Genomic DNA, 23,355 nt, shown 5'->3' with positions numbered 1-23,355 from the left:
TGATCCACTGGCACCCTTTATAACCTGTCTAGACCTAAATGTAGCCATTTTCTAATATATTCTGCTTCTTTTTCTATTTTGGTCATTTTAGCAAATGTTATCACTTTACTCTCAGATGCCCAAGACAGAGCATTATCCGAAAGTCTCCCTCATCCCCACAACAAATCACAAAGTGTTACCAACTATACTACCTAAGGATTTCTAAAATAGTGGCTCTCATATTATTGTTTGTCTGAATTATCTTGGATACGTATTTAAAATGTAGATAATAGGATCCTCCCTCCAGGAGTCTGGCTTCAGTGAGTCTCAGGTATTACCTAAAACTCCAATGTTTAACAAACTCTCATACAAATCTTATGCAGGTGGTCTACAAACAGAACAACGAGGAACACTGCTCTAAAAAATTCTCTTTACATTTCCGTTACTCCTGCCCTGGGTCAGGTCCAGGTGTCTCTTGCCTGGGTGTTTGCCACAGCTTCAACACTAATCCTTTAGCTCTAACCCTCTCCCAGCCAGCCTCCACACTGCTGCCCCAGGAGACCTTCCTAACTGGCCAGCTCTTCCCCTGCTCAGGGGACCCTAATGCCTCCCAGGACAAAATCGCAACCACTCAGCATGACCCATGTGGCCCTTAAGCCCGTCCAGCCTCACCGCCTGCTTTCTCCTTTCACACTCTTTGCTCCAGGACTATGGATCTAGTTACTTGCTGCTTGGGGTGCCCCTTATGCCCCTCTACTTGGTCCATTCATTTCCTGTGCCTGGACTGTTCTCCCTACTTCTTGTCATGTGCGAATTTCTACTGTAAGCCTTGGCTTCAGGTCACCCTTCTATGCAGCCATTCCTACCTCCCCGAGGAAAGAGTTCTCTTTCCTGTGTCTTGTCTTTGTATATTATACGTAATTCTATAACCATAACTACCACATTTTATTTCCTATTCCTTTCCTGGAGTTGAACAGAGGTAAGACCTTTAAAAACTGGACAATTTTAAGTTTTATAAAATTTGTTTAAAATTCCTCAAAATCTCACCACCCTAACACAAGTATTTAGTTTTGTGTATTTTCTTCCAGTTTTTCTTCACCCATAAACGTAATGATCACATAACTAGAACATCTAGTGTAATATTATGTTTTTCCCCCAAATTTGTTTAAAATACTTTTAAATGTTTCTGTATCATGTTCATAATTATTTTAAGGGTTTCACAATAATCTATTAAATTAAGGAACCATGGTTATGTAATCTTTTCCCATTTTTGAACATTCAAGGTTTTCTAATTTCTTTTTATAGATATCATTAAATAACAACTTTTTTCTTTTTTGATAATGCTGAGTTATCTACAGAAAAGAATGTGCTTATATTTAACCTCACAGAAATATTACAATTCAGCAATGCAATATGTCTACATTTCTTGTTTGATTTTTAAATATGTTTTAATATAACTGAAATTTAGATAAATTTTATTTTTACAGTATTATGGCATTTTCATACTCTTATTTATTCATGTATGAAAAAAGTTGGCTTTTTGATACATAGTTGGCTAATCACTATAACAAATTAATTTGCTAAATTGGAATAATTATAGTTTGTTTACTGAGCTTATTGTACTTTTCAACTTATCTACTCAGAAGGAAGAATCCATTTGTACTCTTGCCTCATAGTAAAGTACATAATAATACCCCAACTCCCCATTTTCTTACTCTATATTGCATAGACATTTTCTAATATTTAATAACTGGATACTAGCTCTAAATAGGTACATAAATTAGTGCTTTAAAAATTTCTCTTAAGTTAAACATTGCATGTCCTCATTCATATGTGGAAGCTAAAAAAGGTTGATCTCCTAGGCGTGAAAAGTAGGACAGAGGATACTAGAGGCTGGGAACAGTAGAGAGAAGTGGGGACAAGAGAGATTTGTTAAAGAATGCAAAATTATAGCTAGACAGGAGGAATAAGTTATAGTCTTCTATAACACTGTAGGGTGTTATAAGAATAATACAGTTATTTATATATAAATTTATATACAAATAAGAATAATATATAGTTCAGATAGCTAGAAGGAGGATATTGAATACTTCCAACACAAAGAAATAATAAATATTTGAGATGATGGATATGTATCAAAACATCACTATGTACCCCAAGAATATGTACAATTATTACACGTCAATTTAAACGATATTAATTAGGGCTATAACAGTTGCGTTGGAGGTACATCTTTGAGGTTCCGTTAAATGAGAAAATTAAGATACAGAAAAGTGTGTTGAATATACCATTTAATAAAGCATGCAGTTTTCCCCCCACAAAGTCTCTCTCTGAATATATATAAACATACATATACAACCACACACATATTTACTCCTGATGGTCAATAAAATGCACATATGATGTTGAATTATATACACAGAAAGTGAAAATATAGATATTCTTTGGACATCTGCTCTATCTCTCTATGTCTATTAATTCTTTGAAGATAGAGATTAATTCTTCTATTCATTTTGTGATTCCATAGTGTACAGTAAAGACTACATAATAAAAGTTCTAAGTGAATGACAGCACTAAATTGTATCAACATTCACTTTTCCATATGTCCTCTCTCTTTCCTATTTAATAAAAAAAAAAAAACTCCAAAAAGTAAGCAGGGATTGTAGTACAGTGGTTGGAGCTCAGATAGTATCTGTGTATTCTATTGCATAAGAAGGATGTAAAGGTGGATGGGGAAAGAATTAACTTTAACTGAGTGCTTATTATATGTTAGGGACTATTCGCATACCATCACACTTACTTTGCACAGTGACCCTGTAAAGCGAGATTTCTTTCTCTATTTTACAGATTGAGGAAACTAGGGCCCAAAGAGATGTATTTTCTTTCCCAGCATGGTAGTAAAATGGGAAGAGCCATAGGGTTGAACCCAGATCTGTCTGATTCTAAACCTTATTTCTTTTCTCATGTGGTTGATGATGTAGATACAGACCCTATTACCTGCTTTTCTGCCATAACTTTTGTTGAAAGCTACCAGAGAACTTCATTAAAATAATCCATTTCAGAATTGTATGCATTTTAATTGTGCCTAATTGGTTTCCTTCGGTATTATTTTGCTAAGTCTATCCACAGTTTTTCTCATCGTGCTCATTAAGAATGCTCTAATACCTTATTTTTAAATAATATTTAATGTTGTACAGGTGCTGTACCTGTATAACATTATCTCAAAATATTTACATATTTTCAAAAATAGTATTACATTTGAGAAGAATGCTAGGAGTACTTTTGCTAAATTTACTGTTTATTTTACAAAAATTAGACATATATCTTTAGTTTCAAGATATAACTATTTTAAATTTTTGAAATCTATACACTACTCTTGAGGAAATGCTTGAATTTTCAAAGACACTATAGGTTACTTTGAAAAGTTGTCTAATTAGATAATGTAATTTTTTGAAAGATGTCCTATTTTAATGCCCAACATTATTTATAAAGACTATAAACTGACTGAATAAGGAGTTGATTCTCTTTTAAAATGATAAACAAATGTATACTCTTTAGGAGCTGCATTGAAAGTCCTTTGAGGGAACAGAGAAAACAAAAACAATCTCCATAAGGTCTGTTGACATGAGGCAGTTGTAAATTTGGTACCAGATCTGGGCTTAATTCTTTTTTGTTTTATTTATTTATTTTTTGTAGAGATAGGGTCTTGTTATGTTGCCCAGGCTGGTCTCGAGCTCCTGGCCTAAAGTGATCCTCAGCCTCCCAAAATGCTGGTATTATAGCTGTGAGCCACTGTGCCTGGCCCTAATTCTTTTTTCTCTTGTAATTTTAATTTAAAAGATTTTTATTTTTGACTTTTGTGGGTACATAATAGGTGTATATATTTATGGGGTTCATTAGATATTTTGATAACAGCATGCAATGTGCAATAACCACATCAGGATAAATGGGGTATCCATCATCTTAAGCATTTATTCTTTATGTTATAAACAATCCAGTTATACTCTTTTAGTTATTGTAAAATGTACAATTAGGTTACTATTGACTATGGTCACCCTGTTGTGCTGTCAAATACTAGGTCTTATTCATTCTTTGTTGCTTCATAGACATTCATAACCTCAACGTCTTAATTTATAAAATGAGGATTGTAATTAATATGTCATAGAGTTACTGCGAAATTAAAGAAGACAATATATATCACAGCACTTTATAAATTGTACAGTCCTATACAAATAGGATTTCAATATAATTACAAATTACTTATTATAATTTTCAATATAGCAGGTGATTAACAGACCATCTAAAACAAAGAACGTATGGCTACTATAAATGTTTTATGTGATTCCTTTAGGTTTGAATTTTTGCATTTGTCTTCTATTTATCCAAAAAAGAAACTTTTTTTTGAGTCAGGGTCTTACTCTGTTACCCAGGCTGGATGGAGTGCAGTGGTGTGATCATGGCTCACTGCAGCCCCTCCTGGGCTCAAATGATCCTCCTACCCCAGCCCCCCAAGTAGCTGGGACTACAAGTGTGCACCACCATACCCAGCTAAATTTTGTATTTATTGTAGAAACTAGGTTTCACCATGTGATCCAGGCTGGTCTCAAACTTGTGGGCTCAGGTGATCCACCCACCTCAGTCTCCCAAAGTGCTGGGATTGGGAGCCACCGTGCCTGGGGCCCAAAAACATACTTAATGAGAAAAGATATATTATTTAAATACTATTCAATAAAGGCTTTAAATGCCTTGAGTCATATCATTAGGTACACAGAAATTTTATTGCTCTGTTGGTAAGGGGATTGGTTACCTGGAGCAATGTTGTCTGGATTTGGAGGGCTTCGTGGATCTGGGGTGTTGGGAGGAGTCAAGGGGGCTTGCTGCGAACCACCTTCCAAGTTACTTCCATCCACTTTCCCATTCTGCATAGCAATACTGTGCTGTATTTAATCAAAAGTAAACTCTGCTGAAAACTCAAAAATGTAAGCACAATAATAGGAGCTATATATGCAAAACTTCAATTGTATATTTATAATTTAAATGCAATGTCGCTTCATTACTTCCTGGGACCTCAATAATTTTTTTCATAGTAAGATGGTTGCGCACTTGAATGAGAAGATTTACTGATATCAGTCTAAGATCTATTTTATGATGACAGTCCACTTAATAATGATTAGAGCTGAAATTGAGACTTACTGTGTGCCAGGCACTGTGTGTAGTGGTTCATACCAATCATTTCATTTTCTGTTCAGACCATCCCTATGAGATAAATGTATTTAATTTTTGAATCCTTACTAATCTAATAATGTAGAGCATACTGGCTAAGCATTTGGCCTAGTAAATCTTATCTTCCATTGTATTTATATTTGGGCTTTAATTAGATTTTTTAACGTCTAGAAAGTTTAAAAATCTAACCTGAAATTTCAACGGCAATCATATGTACTCCAAAAAAACACAAAAATCATTTATATTTTAAGTTGCATAGACTTGCAAAAGGAAAAATTTTTGATTTTTAGAAAATAAAATGCTGAAAAAATACATTTGTCTTTTAAATTTTGATAAATTTGTTTTCCTATTACAGGATTTATTCTATGGCAATAATATAGCACCTTAAAAATGTTCAGTTTGCATTTTAAGAAAAAAATAGACATCGTAGTAGGTTATGTCCTCAAAAGTATAGCCAAGTTTTATTCTCATAATAAATCATTGTTTTAATTGCATATAGGAAATATGTGTATTTTAAAAAGAAGCGATTAGGTCAAATCATCTTTTAACTTCAAAAATAAAAATTTAGTAAAAAGCATAGCAATTAGACACTGATTTTGACTCTTTTGTGTGTGACATACAGAAAATCTTTCATTTTTTAATTTCTATATTTGTTTGTAAGATTCTGTGATGAAATATACCTTTACATTTTAACACTTATTTAACTTTATAGCAATTTCAGGATAGAATACAATTTTGTTTTAAAATTTAAATACTTACCATAACTAAAGGCCATAAATTAAGATCCTCACTTAATAAAATTATGAAGGAAATAAAGTTTATCTCCATTTTTATGCTTCACCCACACAGCCCCTCCCCAAGGGCTTTTGCATTCATGTTAATCTCTGCAGCATTCCAAAAAAGCCTACTTTCAAAGCAGTAGTCCAAATTTGAGCCTTTGTTCTTTCGTCTGCTTCATCAAAGCCCACATTTGGACAGGGCAGAAAATGACAATGATAAAATAAAATCTTCATGAATAAATTATACTTATAAAATATTGATAGTCTGATGATATACTAACTTCCCAGGAACATATATATATTTTCAACGAATAGCTTTTTAAACAAAAATACTTAATCTCTATTAGAATTTTAAAAGATCTATTTTGGGAAGGAATTCTCTTAGAGCTGTCTCTGCCTGAGGTTAAAACTTATAGCAAAAATATTATGACTTTAAACATTTTTACAACTTTAAACATCGCATGCCTAATTGCAAACTCATCATCATGTTCACACTTTATTGCATACTGAATAAGCCTAAATGTTTTAGCCTTGCACTGAGACCTGCCTACCTAGTCTCATCAGTTTTTAAAGATGTACCCTAAGCTTAAAACCAAACCACTTATAATTCCCCGATTATCTTGTATGCTTTTCTACCTTTGATCATAGATCAAGATTCCCCCATTATCTTGTATGTTTCTCCACCTTTCTACCTTTGATCTTTGATCATAGGAGTTCCCCTAGCAAGAGGACCCCTCTCCGTCATTACCATGGTCGGCTCTGTCGTGATTTAAAAAACACCCCTTCCCTTATTCTTCCTCCCCTTCCAATAAAAAGTTTTTTGTCTTTCTTCTCGCCGCTCCCGTATCATTTACTATAATTCGCCTTTAAAATAATATTTTGTGTCCTGTTTCATTTACTAGCTTGTTAGCTACTTGAGAACAGGGAATTTCATTTTGCCCATATGTCTTTTACAAAGCCTAAGATGGTGTCTTATATAGCACAAGCAGTCAGCGAATATTAGCTGAATTTTTAGTGAATAAATAGCCAAACCCAGCTGATTCTTTTTCACTATGACATTTTTTAAAATGCCATCTTCCTTTTTCACTTTAGTCTTCATGCTCCTGTTATCCTCATTGCTCATACTTTATCATGTCATCATCTATCTTCTGTTCATTTTCCACCAAGCATTTTCCTTCCAGTCAGACCGAATACAAATGCTGGTATGGCATTACTCCAATCTTTAGAAATTGTTCCTAATTGCCTAGTGAATAAAATGCAAACTCTTTTGCTTGGTAATGTAGATGTCATACTCACCTCATAAACATTACCTCTCATTCCTTGCAAACTTCCACAAGCCAGTTCCCCACTACTACCCTCTGCCCTCCTCAGCCCCACAAGCTGTTTCACCTGCTTTGAATGCCCTCTTTTCTGTTCTTTACTAAACCAAATCCTAGGTTTCCTCTAAGACCCATCTTAGAATTTCCGTCTTCTTTCTAACTAACTTAATCTACCGGAAATGTCTCCATATTCTGTATTATCCCAATACTTCAATAAAACCTATGCCACCTTCTCGTGCTCTTTCTTTATTTGTTCCTGTTACCTGGGTTTTGGTATTGCATTTATGTCATTTGGAGTCCCCATCCTATTTATAATCTGGCTGAAGTCTAGTTGGCCACTGATGTGATTTGGATATTTGTCCCCTCTAAATCTCATGCTGAAATTTCATTTCCAGTGTTGGAGTTGGGGCCTAATGGGAGGCGTTTGGTCATGGAGGTGGATTCCTCATGAATGACTTGGTGCCATCCTCGCAGTAATTAGTTCCTATGAGAATTGATTGTTAAAAGGAACTTGGCACCTCCTCCCTCCTCTCTCTTCCTTCCTTCCTCTCTCACCATGTGATGCCAACTCCCCTTTCCCTTCTGCCATGAGTGGAAGTTTCCAGGGGCCCTTACCAGAAGCAGGTGCTGATGCCATGCTTCTTGTACAGCTCACAGAACCATGAGTCAAATAAACCTCTTTTCTTTATAAAGTACCTGGTCTCAGCTATTACTTTATAACAACATGGATGGACTAAGAAAGGCATTGTGTGTGTGTGTGTGTGTGCGTGTGTGTGTGTGTAATATAACATTTTTGCATTTTGAACTCAGCTCCTATCTTGAGTGTTGGACTTAATAATTGACTAGGTTAGTATCTTTATGTTTTTACTTCTAAACCTATACTAATTCTTTAAAAAGTATAAAGTTCCTGATAACTTTAATTATAAATAAAAAGGCATTTGAGATAAATTTAGGAAGTTTAAATGTATAATGCACAAAGAGTAATGTTTTCTAAGTTCCTAGAATGTGTTCATTAAATGAATTTCACCTAAACTTACAAATAATTCTACCTACATTAATTTCCAGGAATTGTAATACCTTCTGTAACCTCTTCCTGGGGATTAATGATGAGCAGGAAAATCAACTCTTTCTCATTAGTCATTAATTATCAGGAGACACCCAGTACCTCTACATCATCGTTAAGAAAATAAGCAGAGCCTTATAATAGTTAGATAGTAACCTATATAATTATAAGCTTTACATCATAGCATTCCATCATCTGCAATTCCTTTCAGAAAAGTTGGAAAGACAAATGAAGATATGTCTCTTCTTACCTCAGTTAAGTTGACCCTAAAGAAAACAAAACTAGAGCCATATCCTATAGATTATGTAAATTAAAAACATGCATAGAAGATGCTTTACATGATTTCTGTTAAAATATCAATAGATATAAAAAGAAGGCTTCTTTGCTCTATGCTTTGTGCCACATACATGGTAGAAGTTATTTTTTGAACAAAGCAAATATATATTTAGAGTTCCAATTATTTAGTGTGGTCTTATTTCAGAATTACTTTTAATAGTATAATTCCCCTTTTCCCAGTAGTATTTAAGATTTCTAGTGATTCAAAAAATATAATATCCTTTTGCAGTAACTGATAAGAAGAGAATTTTAATTATCATGAGGCATTCTTCCATTTTACTTTATTTTTGGTGGCCTATTTTCTTCACCCATCTCCATTTTGCCATTTTGGTTAAAAAATAGTTTATGAACTAGGGCTTCAAAATTGGCTCATGTAGCAAGCAATGTTCATTTCTTTTTAGGAACACATATTTACTGTTATTACTGTTTGTGTCATAGAAAGTATATGTAGCTTGAATTTGCCAGTGTCCCTCACCAGTAGAATTCAAAGCTACACTTATTTTTTCTGTTTTTAAAATGGTAGTATTTGAACAAATGGCATTAATTACCAGGGGGGTGGTTTATATTTTCATTTATATGAGGTCTTCAACATTATACTAGAATAAGAAATATATAAAGCTGAGTTAAATTATTACTTTGACAACATCTATTGCTCAAGGGAAGCAGTAAAAGTAAAAGCTTGTTCCAGAAAATGTAGTCAATAAATCAGATTAATGTGGTATAAAAATCATATAAGGATCATTCAAGAACTAGATTATAAGTAAATAAAAGCTCTCTTATCTTTCAATGTCATTTGGTCTCTCTATCACTAGATGAAACCTGTATTTATTTATCTTTGAGCTTGCAGCATAGTATCAAGAACATAATAGGCACCCAATAAATATTTGCCAAAAGTATAAATGAATATGAATGGAAATAGACCTGAGTCTAATAATATTTTTGAATTCCTGTCATATTAACCTTTCAAGTTGCAATCTACAGTCTTGACAAAGTAAAAGTATCATTGTACAACGTGGCTCACTATCTTCCTTAATGACTTATTGTGCAGGTAATTTTTTGAATTAAGATCGGGCAACACACAGATCATTAAAGACAGAAGGCACCTGAGAGCATTGGAGTGCGTATCTTTATTTTTAAAATGAGGGGGAAAATTCAGAAAGGCAAAAAAAAAAAAAAGGCAACGCTTTTTGAGTTAACACTAAATCACATGGCTGGTGGGAGAGCCAGGACCAAACCTTGGTCTCCTGATTCCCAGGCAAGATTTTCCTTTAATTACACCATGAGAGAAATTGGTGCCAAGAACTCTAGGATTCTGACAGCTGAGTATCAATCTTCTTTATTATGGTGTTGCTTAAGTCAAATGAACATACTTCCTTGAATACTACTTTCCTTATTTTGAAAGAAGAGTAAAATTCATCACACTTTAGAGTATGTTATGTAACTCAATAAAATATGACTTTATTGCATATATTATTATTGCTTATTGCTTTGTGTTATTTATCAATATTTAATTATTTATTTCAATAAACCTGTTTGGGGTCATTTTATTTATTCAGCGCCCAGTCTTCAGGGAATAGTGAAAAATTGTCAAGACATGTTCTTATATATATTATGTGTAACCAGAACACATTCGAACACAGGTGTATAAAATTATAATCAATAATTTGAAATACTGGTGGTAAGAGAATATGTTGTGTTCATAGGGACATTTTAAATCTTATTGTACCTTTCTTCAGAATTGTAGTTAAAGCATTATTCCTAGAGATGTAAGTGGAAGTTATAAAAACTGACATTATTCATTTATTCAAATGTCTAAACTTGTAGATGACTTTTCAAAGACTTCCGTAAGCCACCTTATTTTGTACTACTCCATAGAGAGCCTTCTCTATTGTCATTATTGAAAGAATATGATTACATAGACTCCAGCAGATGGGGTAGGGATTATTTTTGACTCATACTTACAAGATATTTTTGATAAGAGGTTACTGGGCATACTTATAGGGTACATGGACTTCAATTAAAAAATCATTCTTCACAAGTATAAATACTATAGTTGAGTAAGATTTGATGGCTAACTGAATTCACAATTAAAACTAGATTTAATCAATGGATGGCTGAAGAATGCTCACAAATATGAAAATAAATTTGTTAAGTGTCCTCTCAACATTTTCTGTTAACAAAAAACATAACAAGGAAAATAGAAATATAGGGAACAAAATTTTGGTGTTTGTGGATGTAGATATTAGTTTCTATAGTGTGTTTTAGTAATTATGATAAAATAAATCAGGGAAATTAGTCTGTTTGCTGTAAAGAAGGGAGCTGTCCATTCAAAACAACTTATTAGTGATGGGAGCTGGTAAGTTTTCAGGCTTAAATCTGTAAGTAAATCTTTCATAGCTCTAGGAAGAAACTCTCAGTAAATAAAACATATTTGTTGAAGTCATCATGATCTTTTCAAATTTAGGACGAATGCACTATTCCTTTTTGATTCTTCACGCCAGCCATTTGAATTTTAAAGCCATTTTCCCAAAGCTGGTTGCCTTTCTACTATCAACTTTTTCCTCTACAGTCTCTTTAAATGACAGTTTAAGTGAATGTAATATTAATACAATATGTAAAATGTAGTTTAATTTTTGTTTGTTTATTAGCTTTGAGTTGGGGAAATCTCTGTCCAAAGAGTTATATCCAAACTAGTTTTTGTCATTAGTGAGTACCAGACTTCCCTACACAATGTGGAATAAATGCTTTGAGAGGGCATTGAATGTGTCTGTAGTTCCCAGGCATGTTTCAGTTCCAAGGTTTACTCAGTGAATAAAATGCTTATCCTCGCCTGTGGAGCGCTATGTGCTTTGGAAGTGTTTCCATCTCAAACATGTAACTGGTTGTGATAAGACCATGGAAACTTTTAGTACCATTTCTCTCCACTCCCTCTCCCTCCTCTTAGTGGAACAGACAAGTTCCTCAGTGCCAAATCTACAAGCTTACAATGTCCCTATTGAACTAAAAGCATACTCATATCATACATAATGCTTCTTTTGTTTACCCACCTAAACTATTCATTATGATAAAAAAAAAATAGCCTAACAGAATAAATTGAAAGAAAATATATAGAATACTTCCTTCAGAAACTAGTCATAAATACAAATTTAGAAATATTGCGCATTCATTTGGATACTACCTGTTCAAGTTATACCTACATTTATTTGTGCTCTAGATTGATACTGGAAATTTTCAAATGTGTATTTGTCAGATCTTCTTTGACGCATCTTAAATAGCCTGGCACCACGGTTACTGAGATGGGATAATTCTTCCAACATGATGTCTCTGGGGATGCTGACCTTTTTGCCCAGGTCCATGCCATCAACATCTGTAAAACAATATTCATATGAGTAAAAATCCCAAGGTAAGCATTTTTAATGCTTTTATAAATTTCTTAATTCTAAAATTCCACCACTTTCTAATTGCATAATCATAAGTATGTCATTTATTTTCTCTAAACCTCAGTTCCTTCATCTCTAAAGTGGAGCTAATAATACTAATACCTATTGCAAAGCATTAATATGAGAATGAAATAAAAATGCTTCATGTAAAGCATGTAGCCTGGTACCTGGCACATAGTGTGAATTAAAAAGTTAGCTGTAATTACTACTAGTACAATTTAGTCTTTCCATATAGAATGAGCTTGCAAATAGCATGGCTTCATAGTTACATTCATAAACTCTGTTTTGCTCCCCACATTTTTATGTGTCAGCTTTAGCTATCCCCCTACTGAAATGCCTACCCTCCCACTCCACCCCACCCCATTTCCCAGACTCGGTCAAAATACTATTTATTCTGCATCTAGCACTGAGTAACCTCCATAAAGTAGGCAGATGATAAGTATTGAGTGAACTTTTTCCCCAATCCAGCTCAAATGCCATTTATATTAATTTCTTACCTAAAATTTTTATTCATAATTACTCATTCATTCTCTATATTTCCATAACACTGAATCACATATATTTGATTTTGTTTTATTTGTTTTATGGTTTGCATTTTCTTTAGGTTTTACTTTCTGTGTCTCCCATACCTTAAATATATCAGATATTCAGTAAATGAGTGTTATTTCCTATTTCTTTTACTAAACAGTTTTTCCAAAATCCAAAAGAGATACAATCTTTCCACTTGCTTCTTTAATCACTAATATATTTCTGTAATACCCACAGAGTCTTTTTGCCACAGTTGACTACCGTTAAATGCATAGGAAGAAAAATTGGGCCATTAGGAAAATAAATAATTATTTTGATTGGGGCAACATTCTTTGATGATATATTAACCATAACAATTAAGCTTTTGGGATAAAACAACAGAATTACTTGTTAAATTTTCTCCCCACTTTTCTTTTGAGAGAAAAATTAGTTTACCTGTTTTGTTTTTACAGGTAAAATTAGAGGAGTCCACTAATTATAAAAGTCACAATATCAAGATTTTTGCTTCTGGGAAGATGAAGTAGATGTGTTTTTTCCTGTAAAGCTATTAAATACAACCTCACATGTTGGACATTATAAGTAAATAAATAAAAGACTCTGAAAGTGTAAAGAAATAGGCAGACAAGCTAGGGACCCCAGGACCCAAGGAACAACATGGTGATTAATACTCTGGGTGTTCTTTTAGCCCCTAAATCTCAGACTTGAAGCTGAAGATGATGGCAACCCAGAAACACCAAGAGGTCCAGACAGACAAAGCACCAACGAAAGGCTGTTCTCTCCAGCTAAAGGACCAGGAAAGGAGCTGCCTCTGCAAGACAGAAAATGTTTAGACAATGGCTGCGCTACTTTAGCCAACCACCACAGAAAACACTTTGACTTCGCTCTCACCCACGTTAAGATCTTGTGGGGAGCCCAGAATTTCACCCTGTGAGGCTGTAACAAGTTTCTCCAATACTCCCACTAGGGTGGTGTCAGAGAGACCGAGTGGGAAGTTGGGACTTTCATTCCTTTTGGCCAGTAACTAGCTCCTTGTCTCCGCAGTCTTAGTGAAGACTACGTGGGAGTCTGAACTCCTGTCCTCTCCCAGCAATAACAAAGAGGCTCCCCTCAAGTTTCAGTGGAGCCAAATAGGGAACCCAGACTTCTACATTCACCTGCAGTAATGAGTTGGCACTCCTGCTGGAGCAGTGTCAGATAAGAACAGATGAAAAAGAAGGTTTATTTAAAGAGCAAGCATCTCAGAACATAATGTGAAAATGTCCAGGCTTAAATTGAAAATCACTTATATATATTATGAAAATCACTTATACAAAGAACTAGAAAAATCTCAAACTGAATGAAAAATTAAAAAAAAAATCAAATGCCAACACTGGGATGACTGAGATATTAAAACTATCTGACAAATATTTTAAAGTACCCATAATTTAAAACAATGCTTCAGAAAGCAGTTAGGAAACCACTTGAAACAAATTCTTTAAATGGAAAGGTTTTTTTTTTTTTTGCCAATGACTCCATCAGCAGCAGCAAAAAAAAAAAAAAAAAAAATCTCAGTCGAGAAATAAAAGATATAAAGAACAAAACAAAAATTTTAGAACTCAAAATATAATAACCTGAGTAAAAAGCTCAGTGAATGGGCTCAATAGTAAAATAGAGGGGGCAAATGAGAAAAATCACTTAGCTGTTAGAATAGAATTTCCCCAATAAGACCAACACAGAGAAAAATAGACTTGAAAACAAATGAACGAGGTATTCTTAGGGATTCATGGGACTCTAATAAAAGATATAGCATTCATGTCATTGAAGTTCCAGAAGGAGAGGAAAAATAAGGGGAGGCTGGAAAAGTACTTAAAGAAATCACGGCTGAAAAATGTCCTAAAGTTGACAAGAGATATAAACTTACAGATTCGAGAAGCTAAGAGAACCCTAAACATAATAAACCTGAATAACTCACAACAAGACTTATAATTAAGCTTCTGAAAACTAAAGACAAAGAGAAAATATTGAAAGCCACCAGAGGAAAACAACTTACTTATATAAGGGGAAAATAACTAGAATAATAGTGGATTTCTCATCAGAAACCATGGAGGCCAAAAGGAAGTTGTACCATATTTTTCTAGGTGCTGCAAGAAAAGAATTGTCAACCCAGAATCCCATACCCAGTGAAATATATCCTGCAAGAAATAAAGGGGAACTTGAGACATCCTCAGATGAAGGAAAACTAAGAGAATTTGTTGCCTGAAAGCCTACCCTAAAAGAATGACTAAATGAAGTTTTCTTAAAACAGAAAGGAAACAATAAAAGAAGGAAGCCTGGAACATCAGAGATAAAGAAGGTATATAGTAAGCAGAAATATAGCTATATACAATAGGCTTCCCTTCTCCTCTTGGGCTTTCTAAATTATATTTTATTGTAGAAGCCAAAATTATAATACTGACTGATGTAAATGTATGTAGAAGAAATACTTAAGACAATTATTTTATAAACAGGAGAGGATAAAAAGACATCAAAGTAGATTTTTTTTTTTTTTGAGACAGAGTCTTACTCTGTCACCCAGGCTGGAGTGCAGTGACCCGATCTTGGCTCACTGCAACCTTCGCCTCCCAGGTTCAAGTGATTCTCCTGCCTCAGCCTCCCGAGTAGCTGGGATTACAAGTGCCTGCCACCACCACACCCAGCCAATTTTTGTTTTTTTAGTAGGGACGGGGTTTCTCCACGTTGGCCAGGCTGGTCTCGAACTCCTGACCTCAAGTGATCCGCCCACCTCGGTCTCCCAAAGTGCTGGGATTACAGGCATGAGCCACCGTGCCTGGCCAAAAGTAGATAAATTTTCTATACTTGCACTGGTAAAATGACAACATCAGTAGACTGTGATAAGTTATGCATATATAATGCAATACTTAGAGCAACTCCTGAAAGCTATATGAACAGATACATTTGAAAACACTATACCAAAATGAAACTCTGAAGTAATCTCCAGGAAGGCAGAAAAAAAAAACAGGAATGTAAAACAGAGATGACAAATAGAAAACTAAAAATAAAATTACATACTTAAGCTCTAAGACATTAATAAATTAAATGTAAATAATCTAAATACATCAATTGATGTCAGATTGGATTAAAGGTGAACCAACTATGGTTTGTTGGACGATGCTGCCTACATGAAACTCACTGCCTATGATAACATTATAAGCAAGTGAAAGTAACAGATTGGAAAAATATATATCAAGCAACATCAACCAAATATTACCTGATATTAATATCAGATAAAATCACAGCAACAAAGATTACCAGAAACAGAGGAGGGCATTATATAATGATTAAAGTGCGAATCCACAAAGATTGCCTAGAAATCCCAAATGTACATGCACCAAAAACAGAGCTATAAAATATTTAAAGTAAAAAAGTAGAACTAAAAGGAGAAATAGACAAATCTACAATTATAGTTGGAAACTTCAATCCCCCCATCTCAGCAGATGATAGAACAACTAGGCAGAAGAGCAGTAAGAATATAAAATTCTACAATATTAGCAACGAATAGGACTTAATTGACATTTATATTTTATTCAACAACAATAGAACACACATTTCTTTCAAGTGCCAGTGGAATATATATCAAGATAGACCATATCCTGGGCTATAAAATAAACCTCAACAAATTAAAATGGTTAAATTATTCAGATTGTTAGCGCTGATCACAATAAAACCGAACTAGAAATTAGTAACAGAATGATAACAGGAAAATCTCCAAACACTTGGAAACTAATCAACATACTTCTAAATAGTTCATGGGACAAAAAGGAAGTCTCAAAGGAAATTAAAAATTCAGTGAACTAAACGAATTTGAAAATACAGCATATCAAAATTTATGGGAAACAGTCAACACAGTGCTGAGAGGAATATTTATAGCACTAAATGCACAGTTAAAAAAGAAAAAAGTATCAAATCAATAAATAAGTGTCTACCCCAAAAAATCTAAAAAAAAAAGATGAACAAAATAAACTCAAAGCAAGCAGAACGAAAGAAATAGTAAAGATAAGAGCAGAAACCAGTGAAATAAAAAACAGAAAAACAACAGAGAAAATCAATGAAGTATGGAGCTGGTTTTTAAAAGATCAGTAAAATTGATAAATCTCTAGTAAGATTAACATGGAAAATATAGAGAAGACACAAATTAACAATATTAGGAACAAAATCAGAGATATCATTACAGACACTGCAGATAGCAAACAGATAATAAGAATATTAATACTACAAACAATTCTACATATAAATTCACATAAACTTGAGCACTTAGAAAAAATTGACCAGTTCCTCAAAAAGCACAAATTACCTCAGTTCACCCAACATGAAATGAGTACTTGATTAATTATATAACTATTCAGGCAATTCAATTTATAGTCTAAAAATCTCCTCACCCCACAAAAGGCTTCAGACTTAAATCATTTCACTGGAGAATTCTACCAAATATTTAAAGAACAATTATCACCAATGTCACATAATCTCTGCCCCAAAATAGAAGAGAGTTCTTCCTAGTTCATTTCATTAAGGTAATAATACACTGATACCAAAGCCAGAGAAAGACAACACACACAGACAGGCCAGGTGGGATGGCTCACGCCTGTAATCCTAGCAGTTTGGGAGGCCTGAGGCAGGTGTATTGCTTGAGCTCAAGAGTTCAAGACCAGCCTGAGCAACATGGTGAAACCAAGTCTCTACCAAAAACACACACACACACACACACACACACACACACACACACACACAGTTTTAGCTGGGCATGGTGGTGGGTTGGTCCCAGCTACTTGGGAGGCTGAGGTGGAAGGATCAGTTGAGCCTGGGAGGTGGTTGCAGTGAGCTGAGATCAGGCCACTGCACTCCAACATGGGAGACAGAGTGAGACCCTATCTCAAAAAAAAAAAAAAAAAAAAAAAACCACACACGCACACAGAAAAAATTACAAAACAATATCCCATATCCCACATACACGTAGAAGCAAAATCCTTAACATATTATTAGCAAATATAATTAAGCAATATATGAAAAGAATTTTATATCATGAGCCAGTGGGGTTTAATCCAGGGAGGCAAGGCTGTTTCACTATTCAAAGATCAATCAATGTAATTCACTATGTTAATAGGCTAAGGAAGAAAAATCACATTACTGTATCTTTGAGATCTAGAGCTAGGCAAAGATTCACCATGTTAATGGGCTAAGGAAGAAAAATCACTTTAGTATATCTTTGGGACCTAGGGCTAGGCAAAGAGTTGCTAAACAACACCAAAATCATGATCCATAAAAGGAATAATTGATAAACTGGACATCATCAAAATGAAAAACTTTTGCTCTGAGACAGACCCTACTAAGAGGATGAAAAGACAAGCTACAGAATGGGAAACAATATTTTCAAAACATGTAACCTTGAAAACAGTCTAGCATAAATACAGAACTATCAAAATTCACTATTAAAAAAGCAAACAATCCAATTAGAATGTGGGCCAAAACATGAAGAGGCATTTCAACTGAAGAAGATATACAGATGGCAAATAAGCATTTGAAAAGATGGTAAACATCATCAGTCACTAGGGAAATGCAAATTAAAATCACAATGATATATCACTATACACCTATCAGAATGTCTTTAATGAAAAATGATGACAGCACCATTTGCTGGTGAGGATGTGGAGAAACTGGGTCACTCATACATAGCTGCTGAAGATATAAAATGGTACAGACACTCTAGAAAACAATTTAATAAATTCTGTTATAAACTGAATGCAGAACTACCCTGCAATACTGGACATTTATCCCAGTGAAATGAAAACTTGTGTTCTTGAAAAATCATATACCCAAATGTTCATAGCATCTTCCTTCTTGATAATCAAAAACTGAAAACAACCCAGATGTACTTCAATGGGTAAACTATTAAAAACACTGTGGTCCATCCACAGCATGGTATTCAGCAACAAAAGGGAACAAATCATTGAGAACAAGACCCGGGTGAATCTCTAGAGAATTACACTGAATGAAAAAGCCATTCCCAAAAGGTTATATGCTGTATGATTCCATTTGTATATCATTCTTGAAATTACAGAAAAATTATAGAAATGGAGAGCAGAATAGTGATTGGTCAGGGTTTAAGGAGAGATGGGGCCTAGAGAGAAGTGGGTATGGCTATGAAAGGGCAACATGAGGGACCCTTATGGGAATGGAAATATTATGTCTCTTGACTGTATCAATGTCAATATTCTGGTTGTGATATTGTACTATAGTTTTGCTCGATGTTACCACTGGGAAAGGGCACATGGGATAGCCCTGTATTACATCTTAACAACTGCAGGTGAAACTATGATTATCTAAAAAAAACTCAAAATAAAAAATTTAATTAAGAGCTATCAAGCCATGAAAAGACATGAAGGATTCTTAAATGTATATTTCTAAGTAAAAGAAGCCAGTCGGAAAAATCTACTTACTGTATGATTCCAGCTATTTGACATTCTGGAAAAGACAAAACTAGAAGGTAGCATAAAGATCAGTAGTTGCCAGGGACTTGGAAGGAGGTAGAGAGAGACGGATGAATAAGTGGAGCATAGAGGATTTTTAGGGCCGAGAAACTATCCTGTGTGATGCTGTAATGGCAGATATACGACACTGCATTTGTGAAAGCCCGTAGAACTGCGTAACACAAAGAGTGAATCCTAATGTAAACTATGGACTTTAGTTAATGCTGTGGTTTGAATGTCTGTCCTTTCCAAAGCTCATGTTGAAATTTAATTGCCAGGCCAGGCGCGGTGGCTCACGCCTATAATCCCAGCACTTTGGGAGGCCCAGGTGGGCAGATCATGAGGTCAGGAGTTCGAGACCAGCCTGGCCAATGTGGTGAAACCGCATCTCTACTAAAAATACAAAAATTAGCCATGTGTGGTGGTGTGCACCTGTAATCCCAGCTACTCGGGAGGCTGAAGCAGGAGAATCGCTTGAACCTGGGAGGCAGAGGTTGCAGTGAGCTGAGATCAGGCCACTGCACTCCAGCCTAGGTGACAGAGCAAGACTCCATCTCAAAAAAAAAAAGAAAAAAGAAAGAAAGAAATTTAATTGCCATTGTAACAGTATTAAGAGCTCAGACCTTTAAAAGGTAATTAAGCCATGAGTACCCCACCCTCATGGGTGGGATTTGTGACCTTATAAAAAGATGAATTCAGCCCCCTTTTCTCTCTTGTCCTCTGCCATTTGATGACTCAGCAAAAAGACCCTCCCTTGATGCTGGCACCTTAATATTGGACTCCCTGGCCTCTGGAACCATGAACAATGTCTTTCATTATAAACTACCCAATCTCAGGTATTCTGTTATAGCAGCACAAAATGGAGTGCAACAGTTATCAATATTGGTTCATCAGTTGTTACAAATACACACTGATGCAAGATGCTAATAATAGAGGAAACAGCAGCGGGGAAGAAGTTTATACAGCAACTCATCGTACTTTCTCCCTCACTTTCCTGCAAGTCTAAAACTCTAAAAAATAAAGTCTATTATTAAAATGTTTAAAAATTTTTATACTTCTTCCTAATGCAATGCAGAACAGCTTTGTCTGGCTCTCTAGTATCCCCAAACAAAACAAAGCAAAATGCTGCACTTCACAGTCCCCAGGAATGGTAGAAATAGCCTATGGAAAAGGCATAAGAAAAACAGAGCAGAGTACATGAGGGTATTTTGCAACAATTTCCCGGGAGTTGCTCGTCAGCTTTGCTGAGTTCTACAGGGAATATTCACCCTTGCTTATTTGCAAGTGTTTGGAGTCTCTGTCACTATGTGTTTGGACCATGGAAGGATGAGCAAGTTTATTTTTTAGTGTGTCTATGAATATCCCTCAACATACTAGACAATGTGATGGGGATGCGATATTTCAACTTTTTGATTCTGGATTCAAAATAGCAAGTTCAATTTAGATTATAAAAGATAGAAGAGACGTTACGCTCTTGAGGTTATTTATATCCATTGTAACTGTATAGGGAAAATATGTAATGTTCTACTACTGCATATCTGTTTCCAGCTCTGCATTTAGTGCTTCCATGGTGGTAGCTTGAATTTGGCCATGGTGGAAGCATTTATACCACAGAAATTTGCAAATTCTACAAATCAAAACATCCCTACTGCTGCCCCATTCAAGAAGCAATTGTTAAATATATAATAGCATACTAATGGGCACATCCATCAGTGTCAGGGATGTATTGCATAAACAAATAAAACACACAAACAAAATTTTCCAAGGTTTTCTTCCCTTCCCTTCCCTTCTAATAGTTAAATTTATGATGTCACTGGAGCAAGGGTTTCAGAACCATTTGTGAGTTAAGGAATCTAATGCATGATCACTCTCATTACTTAAACTTTCAGAGTCAAGAACGCTGTCAGCTGAGCACACAGATTCTAAGTTCAGCTGTTGCCTGCCCTTCGCTGCAAACCCTTGCACAGGTTCTTAACGGTGTGTTTAATCTTGATGCTTGATAAATGATATGTTTTATTTAGAATACATATCCTTGCCTTCATGGCTTAGAAGGTTGTCTTTGTGGCATTAGATCATCTATTAAAAATAAGGCCGGGCATGGTGGTTCATGCCTGTAATCCCAGCACTTTGGGAGGCTGAGGCAGGTGGATCACCTGAGGTCAGGAGTTTGAGATCAGCCCTGCCAACATGGCAAAATGTCTCTACTAAAAAAATACAAAAATTAGCCAAGCGTAGTGGCAGGCACCTGTAATTCCAGCTACTCGGGAGGCTGAGGCAGGAGAATCACTTGAACTCAGGAAGTGGAGGTTGCAGTGAGCGGAGATTGCACCACTGCACTCCAGCCTGGGCAACAGAGCAAGACTCCATCTCAAAAAAAAGAAAGAAAGAAAGAAAGAAAATAATATGGTTAGGTGTACTTTCTTATTGGTGTCATTTATACTGAGAACTTCAGTTAGATGAGTTAATCTAATCCATAGTTTGCAAAGACACTCACTTACAAATAATTGTAGTACGACAAAAGACCTTTTGAAACTGTTCTACCATGATTGGCAACTGCAATTACTAGAGGGTAGCTAGCTGAAGCTTATTTGCTTTAGGGTGGGCTTATTGATTATCTGCATTTGCACAGAACTCTTCCTCCTGTCCCTGGACAGTTGGCCTATGTAATTGAATAATAGTCCATAAAATATGTTCTTCTATAAAGTAACATGTATGTACATATTACATATAACATGTAAGATCATAGTCCAGACTGTGATTTTGGATAATGCCTTAAAACTCCAATTGATAAAAAGTTCTGTGATAATTATCTCTACATAAAAAAGTTGATTTTGAATACCATCTGTGATTCTTTATTTTCTTATTTCATATGTCTCTGTCTTGATTTGAGTTCTAAGGCTATTTTATAAAGTTTTCAAAAATTTGTCATTAATAAAAATATTATTTAAAAACTGTATAAATCTATAAACATTCAAAAAATGACATTACCAATGTATTGAATTATACAAACAGAATAATCTAGTTCTGTTTATAGGATGTATGTCTAAAACATATTTGAGTGAAAAAGCCTTCAAAGAAAGTTAGGATGATGGAATAACATAGCTAGAATTGAACTCTGCAATTTCAACTTCAGTGTAAAATACAATTTAGCCTAGTTCTCTTGTACTCATTTTCTGGAGTGCCTTATTAGGGGTTAGATGCTCAGAAAACTTATGAATTCACAAGATATGACTGCACACCAGTTTTCAAAATAAAACATGCAAACCTTTCTAGCTCTTATTTTTCTTGGGGCTATGAGAATGCTAATGTGAAAATTAAAACAAACCACAGAAAATTACCAAACTTGTACACTGAATCATTAAGTTCTTCTTCTATAAACTTTATATATTTGATAGGAGGTATGAAAGGCCTTTTTGGCATCTTCATTTTGATTTTGAAGATTTGATTAGTTACAGTTTAAGATACACTCCTACAAGAGAAGTAAAAGCGGTCTTCATGTAATCTTTCATCTGAAATTCTAGACTTTGTACTTTTTCAAGGAGTCCTTGCAATTTATGTCAATATTATCATTTCCTTTGTTACTGATAGAGAAACTCAAACACACTGATGTTTGGTTTCTGCACATAGCTCAGTAAATTAGAATCATGGAATTTTATAATTAGATGTATCAGCAAATCCAGCCTTCCTCATTTTCTGTGTGAAATCTGATGTCTCGTCTGGAACCCAGGACCCCTGGTACCACATTAACAACAGCACTCCATTTAGAACCTGGGCTTCCTGTTTTTAGACCACAAAGCTAAGCTCTCTTCCTGAAGTTAAAAAAACAACCTGCCCAGTTCTCTTCAGTGTGCTGGGGAAAGCTGTTGCCCAGTCATGAGGAGAAAAAAACAAACAAACAAAAAACGTACCAAAAAAAGCCCTCCTGGAACCCAGGTGAGAGGACTGTAGGGTGACTGAAGCTTACTTAGGAGGCACTGTGGTCTTCTCTATTTATGAAGCTCTTATTCTAAACTGTCAGCAATATCCATGCTTAAAGTCAGGGAACATCATACTCCCAGTTCTTCTTATGGTTTTTAAAATTCCAATTCCTTTCCCCCAGCATTTCTAAACAGATGCCAGTTTCTCTAGAGTGCCTCTCCTTATTTCATTCTGATTGCCCCATCTCTTTATCAGTTTAATACTTCCTAT

General features: G+C 34.9%; 1 protein-coding gene and 1 long non-coding RNA gene across 4 annotated transcripts in view; one reads left to right on the top strand and one right to left on the bottom strand.

The window, feature by feature from the left end:
* The window catches only part of MYOZ2 (myozenin 2), a 51,958-nt gene that overhangs the window by 24,852 nt on the left and 3,751 nt on the right, over positions 1-23,355 (bottom strand). For all 3 annotated transcript variants that reach the window (NM_001440645.1, NM_016599.5, NM_001440646.1), the window contains exons 3-4: positions 11,897-12,066; positions 4,787-4,916 (exon numbers count right to left, since the gene is read on the bottom strand). In NM_001440645.1, the coding sequence (NP_001427574.1) occupies positions 4,787-4,916; positions 11,897-12,066 (300 nt within the window). The remainder of the gene's footprint in view (positions 1-4,786; positions 4,917-11,896; positions 12,067-23,355) is intronic.
* Positions 11,979-16,687, top strand: LOC105379404 (uncharacterized). The gene is made up of 2 exons (XR_001741421.2): positions 11,979-12,102; positions 13,120-16,687. It is a non-coding gene; the product is annotated as an uncharacterized LOC105379404 (long non-coding RNA).

Source organism: Homo sapiens, chromosome 4, assembly GCF_000001405.40.
Source record: "Homo sapiens chromosome 4, GRCh38.p14 Primary Assembly".
NCBI classification, from domain to species: Eukaryota; Metazoa; Chordata; class Mammalia; order Primates; family Hominidae; genus Homo; species Homo sapiens.
Note: the sequence above shows the minus strand (reverse complement) of the source record. Positions and strands in the feature narration are given on the sequence as shown.